This window comes from Homo sapiens, chromosome 5, assembly GCF_000001405.40.
Source record: "Homo sapiens chromosome 5, GRCh38.p14 Primary Assembly".
Classification (NCBI taxonomy): Eukaryota; Metazoa; Chordata; class Mammalia; order Primates; family Hominidae; genus Homo; species Homo sapiens.
The window spans coordinates 18235542-18260646 of NC_000005.10; the positions used below are offsets into that span (position 1 = coordinate 18235542).

Genomic DNA, 25105 nt, shown 5'->3' on the forward strand with positions numbered 1-25105 from the left:
AATGTTATGTCAGAGTCATGTTGGAAAGTAAGTCACAATATACAGGGTTACATAACCAACCTGATGAGAATTTATGATTTCTAGGACGTGACTCTCCAGACCCCTTAGGTAGGAATTTGGGCAAGATAAAAATCAGAGCTTAGTCCTCATAAACTATGCTACCCAAAATATTTTTCAATGTAATTTCCTAATGAAGACCCACAGCAATTTAAAACCTTTATTAACCTACAGCAATATAAAAAATAAATATTGAAACCAATGATATGTGCAATCAGAAGACCTAAACAAGATACATTTAGAAAGAAAGCAGTCCTAAGGAAGCATTAAAATAAATTATTTTCACTAATTCGATTATTCAAAAAGGAAAATCACTGAAATTGTAGAAAAGCAATAAGAAATAAAAATTTCAATTACATGTTTAGTGATAGCTATGTGCAAAAACTGTGCTAGACAATGAATCATATTTAAACACCTTCAAAATGACCACAGCAAGCAGTTGTTATTATCCTGATTTTATGAGTGAGAAAAATTAGGCCCCCAGCTGTTTATTACTCATGTATTCATTTATTCAAAAATAGCTTTTGGATATACGATAATCTCACTCCGACTTAAACTCTCTCACTGATTATTTGATAATAACAGGTCAGATATTCTTTAAAAAGTATATAGCTATTGAATGTCTGCTCTGCTATGTTTACTATTTTGTTTGGTGAACGAAGACATGGATAAGCCCCAAGGTCATGGAGTTTATAATCTACCAGAGGAGATAAGTAGTTAAAATAAATACATTTTCTTGGTTATCTAAAATTAACAGGTAAATTTAGATAGAGTAAGGAAATAGAGTAAGGAATGATGAGTAATAATATAAAATTTGGTGTTGCTACTTTAAACATGTGATCAGGTTGACAGTTATAATATGCTAGTATTTTAGTAGCAAACTACATCAAGTGAGGTAGAGAACCATGGTGATGACTGAGTGAGTGAATTTCAGAAAGAGGAAATACTGAGGGCTAAGATCTGATAGGCAGATTACCCAAAGTGACTCAGCTAGAAAATAGTTTGAATCCTCATCATCATGATTTCAGAGCCTGTCTTCTTACCCACTGCAGAATGCTAGAACATGTCTGGTTTCCCATGACCTCACCAACATTGTGCTATTTCAGACATTTTCAGTTTTAACAATTAAATAGCAAAAATAATGGTTTATGTTCTTTTCTATTTGCAACTTATTACTAGAAAAGTTAAACATGTTTTTATGAATATTTCTGTTATTTGTATTTATTTTTCTGTGAATTACCTATTCAGAGTTGTATTAGTCTGTTTTCATACTGCTGTAAAGAACTGCCGAAGACTGGGTAATCTATAAAGGAAAGAGGTTAAATTGAGTCACAGTTCAGCCTAGCTGGGGAGGCCTCAGAAAACTTACAATCATGGCAGAAGGGTAAGGGGAAGCAAGGAACCTTCTTCACAAGGTGACAGGAAGGAGAATGAATGCAGGAGGAACTACCAAACACTTACAAAATCATCAGATCTCGTGAGAACTCACTCACTATCACAAGAACAGCATGGGGGAAACTGCCCCCATGATTCAATTACCACCACATGGTTTCTAAATGTGGGGATTTGGGGGATTACAATTTAAGATGAGATTTTATGTGTGGACACAGCCAAACCATATCAAGAATCTTTGTTTATTTTCCTATTGGGTTGTTTACTTTAAACTTTCTACATACTAAGTTTGTGTAAAAGTAATAGTGGTTTTTGCTATCACTTCCAAAGGCAAAACCCACAATTTTTATGTTTTGCGTCAACATAATACATGTGCACACATACTTAAATATACACACATGCCTATCTATATAAGATATCAACACTTCAGCTAATTACTTGTATTAAAATATTTTATCAAAATTTTATTTATCACTTAGCTTTTTAATTGCTATATCATAGTCATAATTATTTTAGGATACATGTGATATTTTGGTACATGTATACAATGTGTAGTGATCAAATCAGGATAATGGGGACATCCGTAACCCCAAACATTAATTTTATCTTTGTGTTGAGAACATTACCATTCTTCTTGTCTATTTAAAAATATACAATAAATTGTGGTTAACTATACTTTTCCTACTATGTTATCAAATACTAGAACCTATTCCTTTTATCTAGCTGTATTTTTGTACCCATTGAACAAATTTTCTTCATCTCCCTCCTCCTCTCTTTTATTTCCAGCCTCTGGTAACCACCATTCTGCTCTTTGCCTATTGAAATACACTTTTTAGCTCCCACAAATGAGTGAGAAGTGCAATATTTATTTTTCTGTGCCTGGCTTATTTCACTTATTATAATGAACTCCAGTTCCATTCATGCTGCCGCAAATGACAGAATTCCATTCTTTTTTTATGGATGAATAACACTTAGCTTTTTTATGGGGTCTTATATAGATGTTCTAAATTTACAAGTGAATACATATTTCAAATTTTTTCAAGGTTTAATTTGAACAACTAAAAATTCTGACATAAAATATGGATTTCCCCACACCATTTCAAAATGAAATTTTCCCTTGTTGTCTGTTATCTTCTGTTCCTTCCAGCCATGATAATGACATTTAAGATCTTCATTCTCAATTGGACTGTTGTGGAAGACCCCAACCATAATTGCAATTTAATCTTTTCTAAACTCATCAGCATAATGATAAAGGTGCTCTGCATTTGATGTCAAAATACCTCTTCACTGAAACTACCCTCTGTGCTGCCAGTGTATTAATATACTAATCACAAAACACCTGCCATTCACTGCTTTCCATGCTTATTTATATTGTACTGTTTTACCTCCTACTCCCTGTTTCTTCATTACTCCTTGTTGGATAGACCTGAACTTCATTACAGGTCACACATAAACAACAATCCCTGCACAAAGATGTTCTGATGCCTTTCTTGAAAGGAATGCCTCAACATGTGTGGCATTTTAGAATACCTGGGCGTTTTATCATACGTTGTGACTAAGTTGTTGGTAAAAAAAAATTCACCTACTAGCTAATTTTAGGAAGCATCTGCATGATGGTACCTATCCCAGCATGTGGGAGATGCTCAAGTGGAGTTTTGAACTAACACACTCTGCAGTGTAAGGAAGGTAGATGATCAAACTGACTGGACTTCTTTCTCTGTGTATTAACACTTTCAGTTATTTATTCTTGTTCTAATTAAATATTCAGATGTGAGGAGTACTTATTAGTCCTGGTTAGTTTATTGAGTGACAGACAGGAGATAGATAAGAATATTTCTGCCCAGAGGAGAAAGGTAGTCAATAAATTAATCAATTTAAGTCATGATAAAATGGGCCACAAACTATCCATTCATTTATGTGTTCTAAAAATCAATGATTTTAATGGCACCACTGAAATGAGTCACATGGTCTTTATAAAATAAATTTGTTACTACATTTTGGATACCATCATGGGCTAAACAGACTATCATCAGAGACCTCTTTTAATATATAATCATAGATTTAACAATAAATTTCTTAGGTAAAAATGCACTTATTTCTAATGTTAGATCATTCTTACATGCTGTCCCTTCTACTCACTTTCCCTCTCTCTTTAGCCCATTAATATGTTTTTTTTTTTCCATTCTGGCAGAAAAATCTAAGCACAGGATGACAATAAAATGTTATGAAACCTGTACAATTTCTTAAAAATTTTATTAAAGAAAATATAAATAGTTAAATAAAAGCCATGTTTACACTGAAATAAAATAAAGGATGGGAAAAGGTAGTATCTAAGTTTTCTACTTATTGGCAATCCTATAAGTTATAGTTTTTGAAATATTTAAAAGAAAGCAATAAAATTGGCAGCAATTCATATAAAAATTAAGAACATAGATAATAAAATTAGACATCAAATTTTATATTACAACTTTACCTCATATGCTGAGTGGTAATGAATATGTGCATTTTTTATTGTCATAAAGTTGCTCATCTTAAACCTTTATAATTCATTTAATGTCTTTAGCCATATCCCCTCTATTATTTCTGAATCAGTCATTTATATTTTCTCTTTTATTCTTTATTGATACACAAAGATGGATCAATTTTCTTATTCAATTCAAAGCATCAATTTTTATTTTATTGACATTTCTATATTTTTTCTCTTTCATTGACTTTAATTTTATTATTATATTTTCTTTTCATCTACTTACATTAGACATAATTTGGTCTTATATTTTGGGTTTCTGAGGAGAGCAACTTAGATTATAATATTAGACCTTTTTTTTCCAGTATAATAATTCAAAGCTAAAATTGTATAGCAAACCACTATACTCCACAATTATTAATAAGTTGCCTTTTAATTTTATTTAGTTCAAAGTATTTTAAAATGTCCCATGCTATTTCTTTTATTTTATATTTTATTTGGAAGTATGTTAACATCCCAATACTAGAGATTTTCCAAATATCTTTATGAAATGAATTTCATTATTATAAGAGAACATGTTGTATGCAAGATCAAACTTTTGTATTGAAACTCACCTGATTACTAATTATTATCTCTCTTGGTGAATGTACCATGTGCACTTGAAAATAATATTTGTTCTGCAGTTGTTGCATGTTCTATAAATGTCAATTAAAGCAAGTTAACTGACTATGTTAAGTCTTCTATATCATTATTACCTATAGACAATGAATTACTGAGGAGTGTTTAATATCCCCACCTAAAATTGTAAATTTGTCTGTTGTATTTTCAATTCGGTCATTTTTTTTAACTTTATATATTTAGAAACTCTGTTACAAATGTTATAAACATTTAGGATTATTATATCTTCTTGATAAATAATTAACCTATTATTATGAAATTTCCTTTATAATCTGTGATATTATGTTTAGAGTCTCTTTTTCCAGGCATTAATACAGCTATCCAGTTTATTATGAATAATTTTGTACTATTATATCATCTTGCTTTCTTTTTACTTTAGCCTATATTAATCTCTAAATTAAAATGAGATTCTTTTAGACAGCACAAAGTCAAATTTTCTTTTCGAAAAGCTCTTCTAATTAGAATATTTGTTTCATTTACACTTAATGTAGTGTATGGTTGGATTTTAAAGAATCATCTGGTTATTTGTTTTCTATCTGCTGATTTTCCTTTTTCCCCTATTTTTTGTTTTCTTTAGACAAAAATATTGAGTATATTGTTTTATCTCCAATTGCCTGTTAACCTCCTACTAAATTTTAAATTTTAGTGGCTGCTCTTGGGTTAATAATGTCTGTCTTCTCTCATTATAATCTGACTTCAAATAGTAACATAGCTCTTCCTATATAAGAACTTATACTTTCATTTATTCCCTTTTATACTTGTATAAATTGTATTTTATATTTTAGTTCTACACATGTTATATATCCAACAATACATTATTATTTTTCCTTCAATTTTTCTTCAAATAAAATTTTTAAAAATCTCCTTCATTCTTAACTTCAAATATCCCATATTTGGAGCTATTTTTTTCCAAGATTCCATCTGGTGTTATTTTTCTTCTGCTAGAAGAACTTCCTTTAACATTTGCATAGTGCAGATTTATTGGCACTAAGTTTTCTTATAGTTTCACCAGTCATATTTGAATTGACTAAGGTTTTTCTTCAGTAGTTTTCCCCAGATAGAAAGTTTGCATGCTCAAAACTATCCAACTAAAACATTTGTTTTTGAGGACTGTTAAGTTTGTCCTTGGCTTACACTGTCTTTTTTTCAGGATCTTGTAACTATCACTCCATTGTCATCTGTTCTTGACTATTATGGAGTGACTAGAGCCTGACGCCATTTTCCCTTTAAAAGTGACTATAGGAATTTTTTTTTAAGTTTTAAGTTCTGCAACTTAAGTAATGTATATTCCAGTGTTGACAAATGTGGGTAAATATTTCCTGGTATAGTGGATGCTCTTTGGAGGAGTTTTGTGGCATCTTTAATTTTAGAAAATGTTCCTAAATTATAATTATTTATTATAATAGTTGAATTCCACTTCAGAAACTCCAGCTATACATATATTTAATCAAATTTGTGCTTTGTTTCTATTATTTTTTCTTAATTGTTTTAAAAAAGTATTTATTTCCAACACATTTTGTTTACTTGTCTCATTTCCAGCTTCTGAATCTCTTATTATCCTTTCTTAATATTTTTTCAACTATGTTTTCTTCAATTTTACTTTCTTTCTGTGGCAATTTTACATTTTCTTTTTTTTTCAGAATGGAGTTCTGTGAGCTCAATTTCAGCTATCTGCTGTCTTCAAACTCATATAAGTTCTTAGATTTCTGCTTTGTATTCTTACTTTTTATAATTAATTGCTTTATATTTCACTAAAAAAACCCCTGTGATTTCAATTGTCCTTTCTTACATGACATTTATGTGGTGAGCAGTTTCTTGTCTGTTACTAATCATGTTCTTCTGCTTTCTTTATTCATATGACACTCTTATATTGATATTTAATTGGCTCCTCTCAATTATTCATTATTGAAAGGACTGGGTTTCCTAGAGAAGCTATTTCTTGCAGAGTCTTGTGATAGAGTAAGGGGCAAGGAAGTATTTCAGGCTAATTGGTGTTCATAAGCAAAGGACCTCTTCTTTCCAGCTGCTGAACAGATAGGTTGCAGTCTAAAAATATGGCTTGCTTATGTCATTCTTTGTATAGTATGAACCTCTATGCATTTGTAAAATATAACAGCTCTAGGGATCCACTTCCTATATCCATTTTGTAGACACAACACATAGCTTTTACACTGTGCTGCTTCACCTTCAGGGAATATAGTCTTGTTAATTCGTTAGAGACCTGTTAGCACTGGTCTTTCTCCGCAGCTGCTCTCTGCTTCCTACCATACATCTCCTGTAGAAACTCGACTTGGAATCCATCTCTAGTTTTGCCAACCTTTGAATCTGCATATTTTTTTCTAAATTACTAGGAACATAAGGGGGAAAGGCTGATTTTAAGCTGTCATGTATAGATTAGAATTATGCCTTTTAAAATTTTTGTTACCATGGGATCTTATTATATTACAAAATAATTAAGAACAATTTAAAATCTGAAAAACTGCTGAAATTCCGCAGTGTATTTTTGCTGATTCTTTCATCTTTTGACCTTTCATCATATGCTTGTTTAAAAAAATGTCTGAATTATGTCACCAAATGTAGTGGTATCAAAGTGCCAGCAGCTCACAGAACTAATTATGAAATCTTAAGACTGAAGTCAAAAGTTCTGTACTATCACCAGCATTGCAGGTTGTCTTCTTGTATTGTACTATTTTTTTCAGGCACATTTCAGGATGGGATGTTACTGTAAAGTTGTTAGTGAGTTTTTCCTTTTTGTTTTCAAAATCCCCACAGCACATTTATATCCATTTGAGTATTACACAACGGCTGCTGAATGCCAAATGTTTCAGAAGCCTTATTTTTTATTTTAGAAATGTTTGAAGATGGGGCTATGGGAGACTGGTTTGGTTTGGGTAGTGAGGGCTTTCTCCCAGGCTTGCAAAGGGAAGACCACCTTATTGCTGTGTCCTCACAGGGCAAAGACAGAGGAAGAAGGCAAGCTGTGTGGTGTCTCTTCTTATAAGGGCACTAATCCCAGCTTGGGGGCTCCAGCCTCACTGCCTCACCTAAACTTAATTACTTCCCAATGGCCCCAGCTCCAAATACAATCATAGTAGGAGTAAGGGCTTCAACATATAAATTTAGGGTGAAACACAATTCAGTCCACAGCACATAATGAGGTAGAGAGTCTGTGGACATCACTTCATAAAACAGATTGGCTAAAAGAAATACATTTGAGAGTTCCTAGTTCAAAGCTCCTATGTGGGAACAATTTGTTAACTAATGTAAATTCTAATTCTTATGAACCAAATCTGCATAATTTGAAGGCATTTGAAAAATATCTATATTAACATGCTTTAAGTCTTATAATAATCCTTTATCTTTTCTCCTTCTTTCCACATATGCATATTCATATATCCCCTCTGAAAACATATTTCCCATTGAAGTCATATTTCAAATTCAAGTTTGTCTTTGTGCATCAGATTTAAAAGATACATCAGTGACTGGGTCATAGATTTGGAATGGCAATTGCATGCATCTCATTTCCACGATGATTAACAGAGTCCAGTTCCCAGCCCATTAAATATAACTTACATTCAGCTGCGGAAACCAGAGCTACATTTCAGTTAACTGTAGTTCTGCCAGAAAGAACATAAATGTGGTAGTCCCTAGTAAGACTTGACTAGTTAAAACACTTGATAATACTACTTTTTCTTACTTTTCTCATATCTACCCTACCACCTTCTCACTGTGCACATTAGCCTCTTCAGTTAACATGCTATGCCGTGAGCCTCAAAGGTTGATAACCAAGATAAAATATGGCCATGGCCTTCATTTCCCTGCAAGTTGACTTAGTGTAGATTCTTTGTCCACCAGCTTTTCCCTGTTTAATTACTAAGTGGCAAGACATTTAGGTGGTTTTGTTTTCCATTTGAAAGTTATCGTGATTCATAAGAAATGATGAAATACTCCTTTGGGCCAGGATAAGGGGAACTCATAATTTTTACATAGTCCATCCAAGTTTACCACAATAATAAGGAAATTATTTCTGGTTGTAATTGGTGATGCCAGAGGCATAAATTTGAACTAGAAACCTGATTTCCTTTGGAGAAAAAAAAAAAAAAAGATTGATTTTGGGTGGGAGAGGGAAGGGAGAATGCAGGAAGGTAATTAGAGGTTCTTAACTGAGTGAAATGATACAGTACTGGAGAGGTTTGTTTATCTAACTAGATTCCAAAGGTTGAAACTCCACATACTTCTAAACTTTAAAGCTTCAAATTCAGCATATTTTCAAAGCAGCCCAGAGGCATTAAAAATGTTTCATATCTATCCAGTTTAATGATCTCAGTATACACCTAATGTTTTACAGGGAAATGTCATGTAACTTATTGCACAATAACAATAACTTTGTGAAGTAACTTGTTCCCATTTTATAACTAAGCTCAAAGATGTAAAGAGGGCAATTACAGATTTCTACATGGATCATGTGATCAACTCCAATTCCTGATAACTGTATCTTACTCACTTGCCTGATTTTCTGTTCACTCATTCTTGTTTTTACCATGATTCCCATTCAATTACTCCTGCTTAGCTCACATAGAGATGTTAGAAATAATGTATTCCAAACCTCATTTATGTTATAAATGATGAAACTAAACTCCAATGTTATACTTAATGGCCTAAGGGTACACAACCAGTTAGTAACAGATTTGAGAACAAAACACAGGAGTGACATGATGCCTGGTTCAGTAGTGTCTTCCACTGTGTGTTTGTCTCTCTTTCTGTGTGTGTGCGTGTGTGTGTGTGTGTGTGTGTGTGTGTGTGTGTGTGTGTTCATCTTGGTCAATTGAGAGACCATCCTGGGAAGATAATAAAGAATGATCCACTTCATTGTGCAATTACTCTGTACAATAAGTAAAAATATTTCTTGAAATCTATAAACAAGAAATCATTTTTTCCCACTTCAATTCTCTACTTTCTTCGGGTAAAATCTTGTTTATGGTTTTTGGATTTTGAATAAGAATCTTACTTGTTCTTATCAGGAGTGGTTCAATTTATGAGAAGTTTCTGTCTTTATGCAGGCTTCATTCTACTGAAAAGTCAACGGGTCCTGACGGTGACAGTTTTGCAACATAAAGGGTGCATTCTTCAGCCTCCATTTTTAAAAGATTTATCATTGATATGGTTTGAATATGTGTCCCCACCCAAATCTCATGTTGAATTGTAATTCCCAGTGTTGGAGGTGGGGACTGGTGGCAGGTGATTGGATCATGGGAGTGGTTTCTCATGAATGGGTTAGCACCATCCCCTTGGTGTTGCTCTCATGAAAATGAGTGAGTTCTCTTGAGATCTGGTTGTTTAAAAGTGTGCAGCACCTTCCCACTGTCTCTCTCGCTCCTTCTCCTGCTATGAGGAGTATTGCTTTGCCTTCCCTTTCTTCCATGATTGGAAACTTCCTGAGGACTCCCCAGAAGCAGAAGCTGCCATACTTCCTGTAAAGCCTGCAGAACTATGAGCCAATTAAACCTTTTTTTCTTTATAAATTACCCAGTCTCAGGTATTTCTTTACAGTAGTGTGAGAACTGACGAATACAGTCATGAACTACTCAAAATAGGAAGCTGAATTTTTTAGAGCAGTGCTCAAAAGTGAAGGGAAAATTTCTCCTTAGGATGTGTGTATTTTATATTTCTCTTAAGATTTCTTCCTGTTTCATTTTCAACTCAACAAAATACTGCCTAATTTATATGGTGTGTCAAAGTGGGCTGGTGGTGATGATCTGTCCTGCATATAGATAAGAAGGCAATGCATTATTTGTAGAGAATATAAACAATAATAAAATTGCCTATGATCAGTATGATTTGTATTAACACCATGAACTGGCAATTTGGAACAATTACAGTGATAAAATACACCCCTGTACTAGGGTGAGCAATTTCTGCTATTTGTGCTCCCCTCAATACACCACTGCCTAAGAAATAATTCATCAGTTTTTATGTAGATGCACCTCAACCATTTTAGTTACATGAAGCTTGTTTTTGTCTAGCAAATTCATGGGAAAGTCTCCTGGAAATAGTATTCTCTGAGTTCTTCCACTTTCAAACATGTTTGTTTTCATGGCCTTCTAATTAAAGATAAGTTTGGCTAGGTATAAAAATCTTTTACTCACATTTTTTCGCATATTATTACTTTATGGAATAGAGAGTTGCTGTTAGAACCTTATGATAATCTGAACATCTTAGACGTTTTTGCTTGGATACACAATGATTTTTATTTTTTCGATGTCTGTAATTTTTATTTTTATGTTTTTCAAGTAATACATTAGTTTTTGAGCAGTTTTAAGCTAACAGAAAAATTGAGAGGAAAGTACAGAGAACGCCCGTCTACCCTTTCACAGACTCCCTCCTTATTTTCTGTTTTGTTAACATCTTGCAGTGTTACAGTTGTTATAATTGAACAAATATTGATAAATTATTTTCACACTAAAGACTGTAGCTCACATTAGACTTCACTCTTGATGGGTTTGTCCATACCAAAAGCATACATCAACCACTGCAGCATCATATAAAAGAGTGTCTCTGTCCTAATAACCCTCTGTGCTCTGTGTATTCATCCCTCTCTCCCCTCTAACTCCCGGAAAAATTGATTATGACAACCACTGATCTTTTTGCTGTGTCCATAGTTTTGCCTTTTTCAGAATGTCATGTAGTTGGAATCATTCAGTATGTAGCCTTTTCAGATTGACTTCTTTCATTTAGCATTATGCATTTAAGTTTTCTCCATGTCTTTCCTGCTGTGGAGACTAAAGTAACTTCATCTTGAATGCTAATCAGCTGTGTTAAACTCTGACTAGCCCCAGTCCCATGAATGCCGCCTGATTCCTACTTTATTTACTGTGCTAGTGTAAGAACAAAGTAACCTCGAATTTACTGCAAAATTATAGGCCATGACAAACATAGTATTCTTGCCTGTTCTGGAGAGTGCCTTTAATTGTCATGCTAGAGTACATATATCCTTTCCTTATGGTATATAAGCCCTGGGTCTGGGAAGTAACAGTGCAGAGATCTACTTGTCTTACGGCTCCTCTATACCATGCTTCTGCCTGCAATTTCACTTAATAAATCAACCAATACCAAACAACTGGATTCATCTGCCTTCTTCTTTGGTATCTTGGCACCTTTGGCATTAGGGGTCACTTTGCATATATGGTCCTTTCCTGTTACACATATCTTCATCTTTCATTTCTTTTTGTGATAGATATATTCCATTGTCTGGTTGTATTACAGATTATGTATCCATTCACTGACTGAAAGATATCTTGGTTTTATCCAGGTTCAGGCAAATATGAGTAAAGCTGCTGTAAATATTTGTGTGCAGACGTTTGTGTGGACGTAAGTTTTTAACTGATTTGCATAAATACAAAAAAAGCTCACTTGTTGGATCAAATGATAAGATGTTTACTTTTGTAAGAAATTGCCAAACTTTCTTCCAAATTAGCTATACCATTTTGCATTCCCACCAACAATGAAACAGAGCTCCTGTCGTTACACATCATCACCAGCAGTTCAGGTTGTCAGTGTTTTGGATTTTGACCATTCCAATAGGTTCACTGTGGTATTTCATTGTTGTTTTGGTTTGCAATTCCCTAATGACACATGGCCTTGAGCATCTTCTCATATGCTTGCTAGAGATTTATATAATTTCTTTGGCAAGGTTTTTGTTCAGATTTTTTTTTTTTTTGATAGAGTCTCACTCTGTCACCAGGCTGCAGTGCAGTTGGCAAGATCTCGGCTCACTGCAATCTCTGCCTCCCAGCCCTCAGCCTCTCAAGTAGCTGGGATTACAGGTGCATGCCACCACACCCAGATAATTTTTGAATTTTTAGGAGAGACGTGATTTCACCATGTTGGCCAATATGGTCTGAATCTCCTGACCTCGTGATCTGCCCCCCTCAGCCTCCCAAAGTGCTGGGATTACAGAAGTGAGCCACTGCCCCCAGCCCAGATCTTTTGTCTGTTTAAAGTTGGTTTTTTTTCTTATTGTTTATTTTTAAGATTTCTTTGTATATTTTGTATAACTCTCCTTTATCAGATATGTGTTTTGCAAAGATCTTCTCTGAGTCTGTGGCTTGTCTTTTTATTATCTTAAGGGTATCTTTTTTGGAACAGAAGTTTTAATTTTAATGAAGTCTAACTTGTCAATTTCTCATTCATGGTTTGAGCTTTTTACGTTGTATCTGAAAATGCAGTAGCAAACCCAAGGTCACAGATTTTTTCCATATTATCATCTAGAAGCTTTTTAGCTTTGCATTTTACATTTGAGTATTTGAAGAATTTTGAGTTATTTTTGTGAAAGGTATAACATCTGTGTCTATATTTTTTATTTTGCATGTGGATATTCTGTTTTTCTGGCATCACTTGTTGAAAAAAATCCTCATTTCTTCATTGAATTGCCTGTACTCTATTGTCTATGATGAGTTAACTGTATTTGTGTGATTTCATTTCTGGGCTCTTTGTTCTCTTCTATTGATCTGTTTGCCTGTTGTTTCACTAATATCATTCTGTCTTGATTTTTGCAGATTTATAGTAGGTTTTAAAATTGAGTAATGTCAATTCTTTCCTTTTGTTTTTCTTCAATATGGGGTAAGCTATTCTAGGTCTTTTATTTCCACATAAACTTTATTTATTTATTTGTTGAGACAGAGTCTTACTTTTTTGCCCAGGCTGGAATGTGATGACTTGATCTTAGCTCACTGCAACCTCAACCTTCTGGGTTGAAGCAATTCTCCTGCCTCAGCCTCCCAAGTAGCTGGGACTGCAGGCATGCACCACCATGCCTGGTTAATTTTTGTATTTTTAGTAGAGATGGGATTTCTCCATGTTGGCCAGGCTGGTCTTGAACTCCTGACCTCAGGTGATCCCCCTGCCTGGGCCTCCCAAAGTGCTGGGATTACAGGCATGAGCCACCGTGCCGTACTCCATATAAACTTTAGAATTAGCTTCTCTATAGTCACAAAATACCTTGCTGAAATTTGTATGGGGATTGCCTTGAGTCTGCCTTCCTGTAGTTGGGAAGAACTGATAATGACAAAATTGAGTCTTCCTGGCCATGTACAGAAATATATCTCCCTATTTATTTGTATCTTCAATTTTTTTAAAATGTCTAATTATTTTACTTTCAAAAGTTTCAGAATATTTTAGTTATACAGTCTGTATTTTAAATATTCAGATTATTTAGTGCTTATTTTTGTTATTTTAAGAAAATTTCACTGAGCAATAGTTTTAGTATGAGTCTGTTCTAATGTTTTGGTTTTATCTTTTGGGGACTTTTATTAAATATATATTAGATTATTTTGTCAGTCTTCCATAGTATCGCTTTATCTTGAATACATTTTTATACCTCTCATTTATTTTTATTTATTTATTTGTTTATTTTATTTATTTATTTATTTGAGACAGTGTTTCATGCCTGTCACCCAGGTTGGAGTGCAGTTATGTGATCTCAGCTCACTGCAACCTCTGCCTCCCAGGTTTAAGCGATTCTCCCGTCTCAGCCTCCCGAGTAGCTGGAATTACTGGAGTGTGCCATTACGCCCAGCTAATTTTTGTGTTTTTAGTAGAGATGGGGTTTCAGCGTGTTCACCAGGCTGGTCTCGAACTCCTGGGTTCAAGCTATCCACGTACCTCAGCCTCCCAAAGTGCAGCGTGAGCCACCACACCTAGCCTCCTCTCATTTATTTTTAAACTTTAAAAATTATTCTTTCTATCTCAGGTAACTATTGAAACAGTGTCCATTATGTTTATTTGCTCCTGTATTATGTTTTTTCTAGCTTTTTCTTGACTTCTTAAAATTTTGTTCTTTCCTTTTTTTCTTTATTTGTGTACCCCCTCTTTTCAAGTCATCATTTAGACCAATGATCTCATTTTTAATTTGTAAAAATAATTCTGATTTGTGTGATTTTCTCTTGGCTCTCATCTTCTTAATATCAATTGCTCATTTAAAAATTTAGGTTACCATTTTTAATATTATGTGAGTTTCTTTTGTAAAAGTGTTTTCATTTTGATATGTTACACCTAGTGTTTGTATATAGATTCTGATTGTAATACTTTTCTTAAAAATTTTAAGTGAAATAAATTTTTCTGTACCTTTAGAAACATGGGAAGGGGCAAGACAATTTTTTTATCTCTGTTGCTCTAAAATCCTCTTCTATAGTTTTCATTAAATGATCAAAAACAGAAAAAAAAATTCTCCCTGCTTCCTGAGATCTGCCTTCTCTGCATCCTTTCTCACTTTTGTCTTCATCTTGTATTTCCTTTATTCTGGATATTTCACATCATTCTCCTTTCAGTGTTGAGCACTATTCTGGAAGAAAGCTTCAGACTGTGAGTTTCAAAAGTGCACAGAGCACAGCGGGCTTTCTAAACTTACTAGGATCCCCTTCCATTCCATTTGCCAGCTGGATTCTCATGACCCCCAGCCATTATTGTGAGCCAGTTCTCAGAGATGTCCGTGCACACTTAGCAAAAGAGGGCTTCTCTTCTCACACCCATTAGACACCTCATGTTCACAGCACGTAGGGCTTGTAACTGCCGTGCTCTGCCCTGCCTACTCACATATTGTCATCAAGTTTTGTCAGAGATACTGTCTTTTGAGTTTTTGGTTTTGCTATATTCCTTGCAATGCCTATTTTAATTTTAAGAAGTTTCAGAAACTGCCACCCTTGCCACCATCTTCCCGGTATTCATCTATATACTACAATATTTTCCAAATGCTAATGGCTCAAACTGGATTGCCCCTCTCACTAATTTGCACTCTTTTCTCAGGATACAACATTTGTTCATTCACTCATTCAATGAATATTTCTTGAGTGTCAGGCATTTTTAGCCACAGTAGATGTAGAAGAAAGCAAGATTTGTAAAGCTTACATTCTCACTGTCAAGAAAATAATTAAGCACCAACATAATATGTCAGATAGTGATAAAAACTATGAAGAAAACTATAAAATTGGGAATTCGGAATTAAGAATACAGGAAGAAAGGAAGCTTCTTATTTCAAATTGAACATGCAGGATAGACATCTTTAAAGTTTTACATGTAAACAGGGGCTTGAAAAAAATAAAAGAATGAGTCCTGTGGCAACTTGGGTGCATAGTGAATATAAATTCCAGAATGAAAAAAAAAGCAATCCCAAAGTCCTCAGGGCTGTTGCATTCTTGAGGTGCAGTGAAACTGCAAAAACTCCAGTGTGGATGAAGAGGAGCGTGCGAGAATCAGAGTGGTGGGAGAAAAGCCCATAGATGCCATCTGTAAACTAGGCAGGGTCTCATGAGTCACTGCAAAGATTTGGGATCCTTTTCTGAAGGAGGTGGGAAGCTACTGTACAAATTTCCTGGATTCCAAACAGGATTTGGTTTATGTATTAAAAAAAAAAATTGTCAGTTTTGAAGACTACATTTTAATAAGCAAGGGCAGAAGCGACGTGGAACAGGGAGGCCAGTTACCAATCTACAGCAATAATCTGGAGATGATAAAGCTTAGAGGAAGGTAGAAGGTGATTACAGAAGAGATAGCAAGTGGCAAGACAAAATATGTTTTTAAACTAGCTAGCTAAGGTTTAAGACAATGATCTTTGATATTGTTTGGCTGTTTCCACACCCAAATCTCATCTTGCATTGTAGCTCCCACAATTTCCATGTGTCATGGGTGGAACACAGTGGGAGATAATTGAATCATGGGGGCATGTCTTTCTCATGGTATTCTCATGAGAGTGAATAAGTCTCTTGAGATCTGATGGTTTATAAAGGGAAGTTTCCCTGCACAAGTTCTCTTCTCTTGTGTGCCGCCATAGGAGACGTGGTTTTCACCTTCTGCCATGACCGTGAGACCTCTCCAACCATGTGGAACTGTAAATCCAATAAACCTCTTTCTTTTGTAAATTGCCCGTTTTTGGGTACGTATCAGCAGAGTGAAAACAAACTAATACAATAAATTGGTACCAGGGGTGAAGTACCACTGAAAAGATACCCAAACATGTAGAAGCAACTTTGGAACTAGGTAACAGGCAGAGATTGGAACAGTTTGGGTGGCTCAGAAGAAGAGAGAAAAATGTGGGAAAGTTTGGAACTTCCTAGAAACCTGTTGAATGGATTTGCACAAAATGCTGATAGTGATATTGACATAAAGTCCAGGCTGAAATGGTCTCAGATGGAAATGAGGAACTTGTTAGGAACTGGAGCAAAGATGACTCTTGTTATGTTTCAGCAAAGAGACTGGCAGCATTTTGTCCCACCCTGGAGATTTGTGGAACTTTGAACTTGAGAGAGATAACTTAGGGTATCTGGTAGAAGAAATTTTGAAGCAGCAAAGCATTCAAGATGTGACCTGGGTGCTGTTAAAGGCATTCAGATTTATGAGGGAAGCAAAGCATAAAAGTCCAAAAAATTTGAAGCCTGATAATCCAATATAAAATAAAATCAAATTTTTTTGAAGAGAAATTCAAGCCAGCTGCAGAAATTTGAATAAGTAATGAGGAGCTGAATGTTAATCCCCAAGACAATGAGGAAAATATCTCCAGGGCATGTCAGAGGTCTTCACGGCAGCCCCTCCCATCACAGGCCCAGAGGCCTAGGAGGAAAAAATGGTTTGATGGGCCTGGGCTCAGGGTCCCTTTGCTGTGTGTAGCCTGGAGATGTGGTGCCCTGCATCCCAACCACCCCAGCCATGGCTGAAAGGAGCTAATGTAGAGCTGGGGCCATGGCTTCAGAGAGTGCAAGCCCCAAGCCTTGGCAACTTCCATGTGTGGACTTCCGCGGGTGGATAGAAGTCAAGAATTAAGGTTTGGAAAACTCTGCCTAGATTTCAGAGGATGTTTGGAAATGCCTGGATATCCAGGCAGAAGTTTACTGCAGGGTAGGGCACTCCTGGAGAACCTCTGCTAAGGCAGTGCAGAATGAAAATGAAGCCCCCAAACAGAGTCCTGAGTGGGGAGCTGTCTAGTGGAACTGTGAGAACAGGGCCAATATCCTCCAGACATCAGAATGGTAGAGGCACTTACAGCTTGCACTGTGTGCCTGGAAAAGCTGCATACACTGAATGCCAGCCCGTGAAAGCAGCCAGGAGGGAGATTGTACCCTGCAAAGCCACTGGGGTAAAGCCGCCCAAAACCATGGGAACCTGCGTCTTCCACCAGCATGACTTGGATGTGACACATGGAGTCAAATGAGATCATTTTGGAGCTTTAAGATTTGACTGCCCCACTGGATTTTGGACTTGTGTGGGGCCTTTAGCCCCTGTGTTTTGGTTGATTTCCCTCATTTCGAATGGGCATATCTATCCAATACCTGTACCCACATTGTATCTAGGAAGTAGATAACTTGCTTTTGATTTTACAGGCTCATAGGCAAAAGGGACTTGCCTTGGCTCAGATGACACTTTGGACTGTCGACTTTTGAGTTAATACAGAAATGAGTTAAGACTTTGGGGCACTGTTAGGAAGACATCTTTGGTTTTGAAATGTGAGGATATGAGATTTGGGAGGTAACAGATGATATGATTTGGCTGTGTCCCCACCAAATCTCATCTTGCATTGTAGCTCCCACAATTCCCATGAAGCATGGGAGGGACCCAGTGGGAGATAATTGAATCATAGGGCAGGTCTTTCCTGTGCTATTCTCATGATAGTGACTAAATCTGAGATCTGGTGGTTTTATAAAGGGGAGTTGCCCTGAGCAAGTTCTCTTCCATCTGCCGCCATGGAAGATGTGTCTTTAACATTCTGCCATGATTATGAGGCCTCCCCAGCCATGTGGAACTGTGAGTCTATTAAACTTCTTTTTTTGCAAATTGCCCAGTCTTGGGTATGTCTTTATCAGCAGCATGAAAACAGACTAATACAATCTTCATCTGAGAAAGTAGAGCTGAATGTTGCACATTCATACCCAAATTCCAAATAGAAATCCTCCACAGTCCATATAAGTCTCAGGCACATAATTTCCAGTCTCTGTTTTGATTCCCATTTGAAGAATTATCACTGAATCCCCCCAAAATAATAAAAAGTTACTGTTCTGTTTAACTTGGATCATTGAATATAAATGTGCAAGATAAATGAATAATTAGCCTAATAATTCTTACCATCTTACTTTGCTCTCAAATGTTTTCATATCAGTGATGTACAGGAGCCTCTAATATTCTAACTCTCAAGAGTCTCTTTCTCCATTCCCTGATCAAGCAGGTTCTCCTTTGGCTTTTTCCTTCCACCTCTGTCTTTGCTATAAAATGGGGAAGAAGGGGAGGGTTGTACATAGCAAAGTGGTGGAAGAAAGTGAACAGAATAGCTTTTCTTTATCCAGTGGCTAGGTGTAGAGTGGGTACATTTATTCCTTTCTTTTCTTTCTCCTCTCCCTTCCTCTTTCTCTCTGTCTCTCTCTTTCTCCCTTCCTTCCTTCCTTCCTTCCCTTCTTTCTTTCTTTCTTTCTCTTTCTTTCTTTCTTTCTTTCTTTCTTTCTTTGTCTTTCCTTCCTTCCTTCCTTCCTTTCTTTCCTTCCTTCCTTCCTTCCTTCCTTCCTTCCTTCTTTCTTTCTTTCTTCTTTTTTTCATGTCACATTGTTTCTCACTGGCATAATGAAATAATCTGTGGAAATCTAACAACTTGAGAAATTAAAAAACATTTTTACTCCCTCAAAATCACTCCATATATGGACTTCTGGGAGAGAAAAAGTGGGACTCTGAAATGCTAGGTCAATGACACTTCATGAAATGTGAATTTTTAAAAATGAGGAAACATATGTAACTCTAACGAACTGATGTCTCTGTCCTCCTTCTGTTCTCTTTCCACCAGCCATATATTAAATGTGTTATTATCAAGCTCCAAGGTGAGAGAACAGATAGTTTTAGAAGCATGAGTGGGAGCAGGGTAGCATCTTTGTCCTTCAGACCATCAAATCATAGAGAGGACAAAAAATTAGGAAACAGAAAGGGGTGATTTCTGAAAGCTGAGGTCTCTACATAGAGAATACTACTTTTCCCCTGTGCAATTTTGAAAGCAGGGAACACCTTCAAGTATGATATGACACAGCATGGAAAAAAATGGGAATGGGATTGCTCTATAAATTGTCTTCAGAATGGGATGAAGAATCAAGTGTTCAGACCAGAAGCCTAGTAGAGGAGAAAAGTGAAATCATTATGGATGAAATGAAGCTGATACTGCTGGTTGATATCAATATGGGACCTTATCTGAAAGTAGTTGGACCAGGAATCACACAATTTACTTCTGCTCCTTTAGCCCAAATTTATTCAAGCCCTTAGCTACATTTACAAACTCTCAGCTACAAAAAAAAATTGTGAAATGTAATCTTTGTAGTTGACAGGCCAAGGCTTAACTCCTGAGTCCTATTTCTTAAGTGATCAAAAGACAGTATATAATATTAGGACTTTCAGCCATGAGCATCAAGTCATGGTCAGGGGCCAAGTCATGAGAATATGCAAATAAAACTCGTTCCTATAGGTTAGTGGGGGAACAGTTCCTGGGGACAACTAGAAATCTCTTTCTCAAATGTAAATATCCACCAGTAGAAAATTTAAAAGACCAAAATTAATAACTGATCAGTAGAATAAAATAGTCTGTATCCATTTATAAAGGAGTAATATCATGGGAAATGTTTCACATTTTCTTCTGAATGGGTAAAGGAAAGATATAAAACCACAATATATAGAGAGAGGTGTAAATGTAATTGTAGGTTAAGTCAGAATAGTGAGGTTTCATATATAGATATAAATTCTTTCCATTTTGTAAGAATAAAAATGTGTCTCTTTTATACTGAGGATAGTCCATGAGTGTGTCTTTAATATTTCCACCTCTGCTTTTCCCCCAGATATCTGTCCCACAGACAATAGTTTTACCATGAAAATGTAAGCTTATTTTAACATGTTTTCATCATCCTATTTTTTCATAAACAGGACTAGGCAGAGAAAACCTGCTTTAGATGGAATACTCTAATTTATGTTGCTTAACTCAGATCAAGTTATGAATTCAGACTCTTAAGTTATGTTTAGTTCAGAAATAAATGAAGTTACATTATGTTCACACCCTGGTAATGTGTAAGGCACAGTGTTAAAGATAGGGATATCTTTACACTGATCCAAAGATGTGACTTGTTGATACAGCTGTGTCTCTCAAATTTCTCTTTTTGAGGGGGATGGGGAAGTAAACTCCTTGAACCCTTGTAGAATACTAAGGTTGCCTAAGCAGATATCCAAGTATAATTCTTATTTATACTGAAGTCACAAAAGACCAGTGGGAAGAACTTGAAAGTATCCAAAAATAGAGGGCAAAAATATAATGTTACCAATGGACTGGAGATGGGTACAGGTAAAATCAAGTGAAAAGTAAGGTCTTTTGTAGAGAATCTCCAGAAATACTCTGGTAGCTCTGTTAGGCAAAGCTATATTTCCTGAATATTGAGAGGGATTGTTGCTTTGAATATAGAGGGAATCTGTACATGAACCTGTTTGAAATCAAGTCTTTGAATAACACATAAAAGATCTCTACTACCCATCATCTCAGGACACTTTGCTGAATTTTCACTGACCCTTCCCAGAAGTTGAGTGAAAAGCTGTGTTGTACCAACAGCCTCTGCTGAGAAGGCTGGGTACCTACAGAGGAAGACCTATCCTTTCTTATCAGAGACAGAGGTGACTATAAAATGTGAAGAGGCACATGACGTGAGGATCTCCTATGAGTGACAGAAGGAGGCAAGAGTGAGTCATTGTTTTCATAGTAGAATTCCTGAAAGCAAGAAAAACTAAGAGGAACAGAACTGCCTGTAGAAACAGAGATAGAGAGGAAGCTGGACTCTCCTAACTGCCATCCGTGTTGGATTGGATGGATACCTTGTAACTTGATAGATGGAGTTCCTGTTAAAATTTTAGCTGGGACATTCTTAAGTTATGTTTAGTTTAGAAATAAATGATGAAGTTCTGATATAATGACCCGGCTCCACAATTTTTCCAGGATTTCAAGCTCTGTTCAGACTGCCCCTCCAAACTCTCTAGGAGGTTGTGCTCACCTGCATGGTCAATTCCACACGACATCACAGGACTCAGGAAGGGGCCAAGACATGGGGATATGCAAATAAAACTCTCATTTCTATGGGATAATGGGGGAACAGTCCCTGGGGACAACTAGAAATCTCTTTCTCAAATGTAAATATCCACCAGTAGAAAATTTAAAAGACATAAATTAAAACTGCTCAGTAAAATAAAATGGTCTGTATCCATTTATAAAAGAATAATGTCATGAGAAGTGTTTCACATTTTCTTCTAAATGGGATAAAGAAAAGATATAAAACATTCTGCAAAATAAAAACCCCATATATAAGGAGACGTGTAAATGTAATTTTAGGTTAAGTCAGAATAGTGAGGTTTCATATATAGATATAAGTTCTTTCCATTTTGTAAGAATAAAAATGTGTCTCTTTTATACTGAGGAGAGTGCATGAATGCGTCTTTAATATTTCCACCTCTGCTTTTCCCCAAAATATCTGTTCAACAGACAATATTTTTACCATGAAAATGTAAGCTTATTTTTAACACATTTTTATCATCCTATTTTTTTTCATTCCTTGGCTTAGAGGAGGTAAAATATGAATATTTCATGTTAATTTATTTGGTAATTTTTACATAAAGAACAGTTTATTTGCCTGATCATTTGACATCTATAATTTTGGGCATTATAAACATTATAGAATACTTTTTTCTTCTTAATCTCAATAACATATACATATCCTTTGTGCCAGCCAAAAAAAAAAAAAAAAAAGAATACAATGGAAAAGGAAGAGACATATGGATATCTAAGTGAAATAAATATACCTCAATTAGAGAGATCTTAATTCAATTTTCACTGCTCTGACTACACTGGAAGAAGCTGAAAGATTTCAGGATACATTAATATATTTGTGGAATTCAAAATGCTGTTTGTTTTGAGCTCATATGCATAGCGACTTTAAATCATTTTTTTCTAAGATTGGGAAGGACATGCTATCTCACTAATAGAAATGCAGCATGTGAGATTCCCCTAAGTAATGGATAATTCCCATGCTGTCCAGATGCTTAAGTGAATTTGAGGTCTGTGTTCAGCTTGAAAGCCATTTGGATAGAGAACCCAACCACACACAATTGCCAGCACATTACACAAGGGAAAATGCAGAAAATGAAATTGTTGGTAAAGATAATTGCTGTGAATGCAGACTCTGATAGCAGGAGTCTATGGAATAGCATACCATCTATTGTTAGCCAGTAAATAAAAGATGCTGTGCTTTGGCTTCAATTTGGAAAAAAGTGGTGGTAGGTTAAGATACCTTATTGAGTTGGGTGATGAAAATATAAAGGTTGGTCCTATTAAGGTCACCAATAAATTATAACCCAAGAGAACTGGGTCAGTGAGCAGAATAGTTCCGTGTGGCCAGGGTGCTGATGCTGGTGTTTAGGATAACATCTTTTGGACTGTAGTACAATTGTGCTTCCTCTAAAGGGTCCTTTCATTCATCTGAGAAAAAAAGCAGTGGGGAAGAAAGAATAGCAACATTAAAAATATCTAATACAAACAAAAAAGTGCAAAGAAGAATACACATTTGAAAAATGATATCATAATTCTCAACATGGTGGAAAATAAAGAGATAAAGCATTAAATGCAGAAAATAGAGGTAGTCATAGGTATGATATTCAGAGTATATTCACTCTGAGAATCCCAGCCAAAATGAGTTGGTGTGGAGGTAAAAATAATCTGGCAGAGACGTCTGAAAATAAGGTACAGAAACTTGAAAAAAATCTATTGTAAATCCTGATTGATAAAAACAAATTTAGATTTTACCAAAAAATAAATTAGAAATCTACGTTCAGTTCATATCAACTTTCTGAAGTAAATACTGGTAATTTGGTCAATAGTGAAATACAGAAGCCAACATCACAGCATCCAAAAAAGGATGGATATGAATATAAATGTGTGTAATTGTTACAACCACTAGCTGGAGAAGCAAGTATCTTTTTTTTTTTTTTGCATTTAAAAATTTTATTTATTTATTTATTTATATTATACTTTAAGTTTTAGGGTACATGTCCACAATGTGCAGGTTAGTTACATATGTATACATCTGCCATGCTGGTGTGCTGCACCCACTAACTCGTCATCTAGCATTAGGTATATCTCCCAATGCTATCCCTCCCCCTTCCCCCCACCCCACAACAGTCCCCAGAGTGTGATGTTCCCCTTCCTGTGTCCATGTGTTCTCATTGTTCAATTGCCACCTATGAGTGAGAATATGCAGTGTTTGGTTTTTTGTTCTTGTGACAGTTTACTGAGAATGATGATTTCCAATTTCATCCATGTCCCTACAAAGGACATGAACTCATCATTTTTTATGGCTGCATAGTATTCCATGGTGTATATGTGCCACATTTTCTTAATCCAGTCTATCATTATTGGACATTCCGGTTGGTTCCAAGTTTTTGGTATTGTGAATAGTGCCGCAATAAACATACGTGTGCATGTGTCTTTATAGCAGCATGATTTATAGTCATTTGGGTATATACCCAGTAATGGGATGGCTGGATCAAATGGTATTTCTAGTTCTAGATCCCTGAGGAATCGCCACACTGACTTCTACAATGGTTGAACTCGTTTACAGTCCCACCAACAGTGTAAAAGTGTTCCTATTTCTCCACATCCTCTCCAGCACCTGTTGTTTCCTGACTTTTTAATGATTGCCATTCTAATGGGTGTGAGATGATATCTCATTGTGGTTTTGATTTGTATTTCTCTGATGGCCAGTGATGGTGAGCATTTTTTCATGTGTTTTTTGGCTGCATAAATGTCTTCTTTTGAGAAGTGTCTGTTCATGTCCTTCGCCCACTTTTTGATGGGGTTGTTTTTTTCTTGTAAATTTGTTTGAGTTCATTGTAGATTCTGGATATTAGCCCTTTGTCAGATGAGTAGGTTGTGAAAATTTTCTCCCATTTTGTGGGTTGCTTGTTCACTCTGATGGTAGTTTCTTTTGCTGTGCAGAAGCTCTTTAGTTTAATTAGGTCCCATTTGTCAATTTTGTCTTTTGTTGCCATTGCTTTTGGTGTTTTAGACATGAAGTCCTTGCCCGTGCCTATGTCCTGAATGGTAATGGCTAGGTTTTCTTCTAGGGTTTTTATGTTTTTACGTCTAATGTTTAAGTCTTTAATGCATCTTGAATTAATTTTTGTATAAAGTGTAAGGAAGGGATCCAGTTTCAGCTTTCTACATATGGCTAGCCAGTTTTCCCAGCACCATTTATTAAATAGGGAATCCTTTCCCCATTGCTTGTTTTTCTCAGGTTTGTCAAAGATCAGATAGTTGTAGATACGCGGAGTTATTTCTGAGGGCTCTGTTCTGTTCCATTGATCTATATCTCTGTTTTGGTAGCAGTACCATGCTGTTTTGGTTACTGTAGCCTTGTAGTATAGTTTGAAGTCAGGTAGCGTGATGCCTCCAGCTTTGTTCTTTTGGCTTAGGATTGA

General features: G+C 35.7%; 1 non-coding gene across 1 annotated transcript; it reads left to right on the plus strand.

Moving 5' to 3' along the window:
* The first annotated feature begins 581 nt into the window (after window positions 1-581).
* LOC124900199 (small nucleolar RNA SNORD81) lies at window positions 582-655 on the plus strand. Its single transcript, XR_007059148.1, has one exon. It is a non-coding gene; the product is annotated as a small nucleolar RNA SNORD81 (small nucleolar RNA).
* The last annotated feature ends 24450 nt before the right edge of the window (window positions 656-25105 follow it).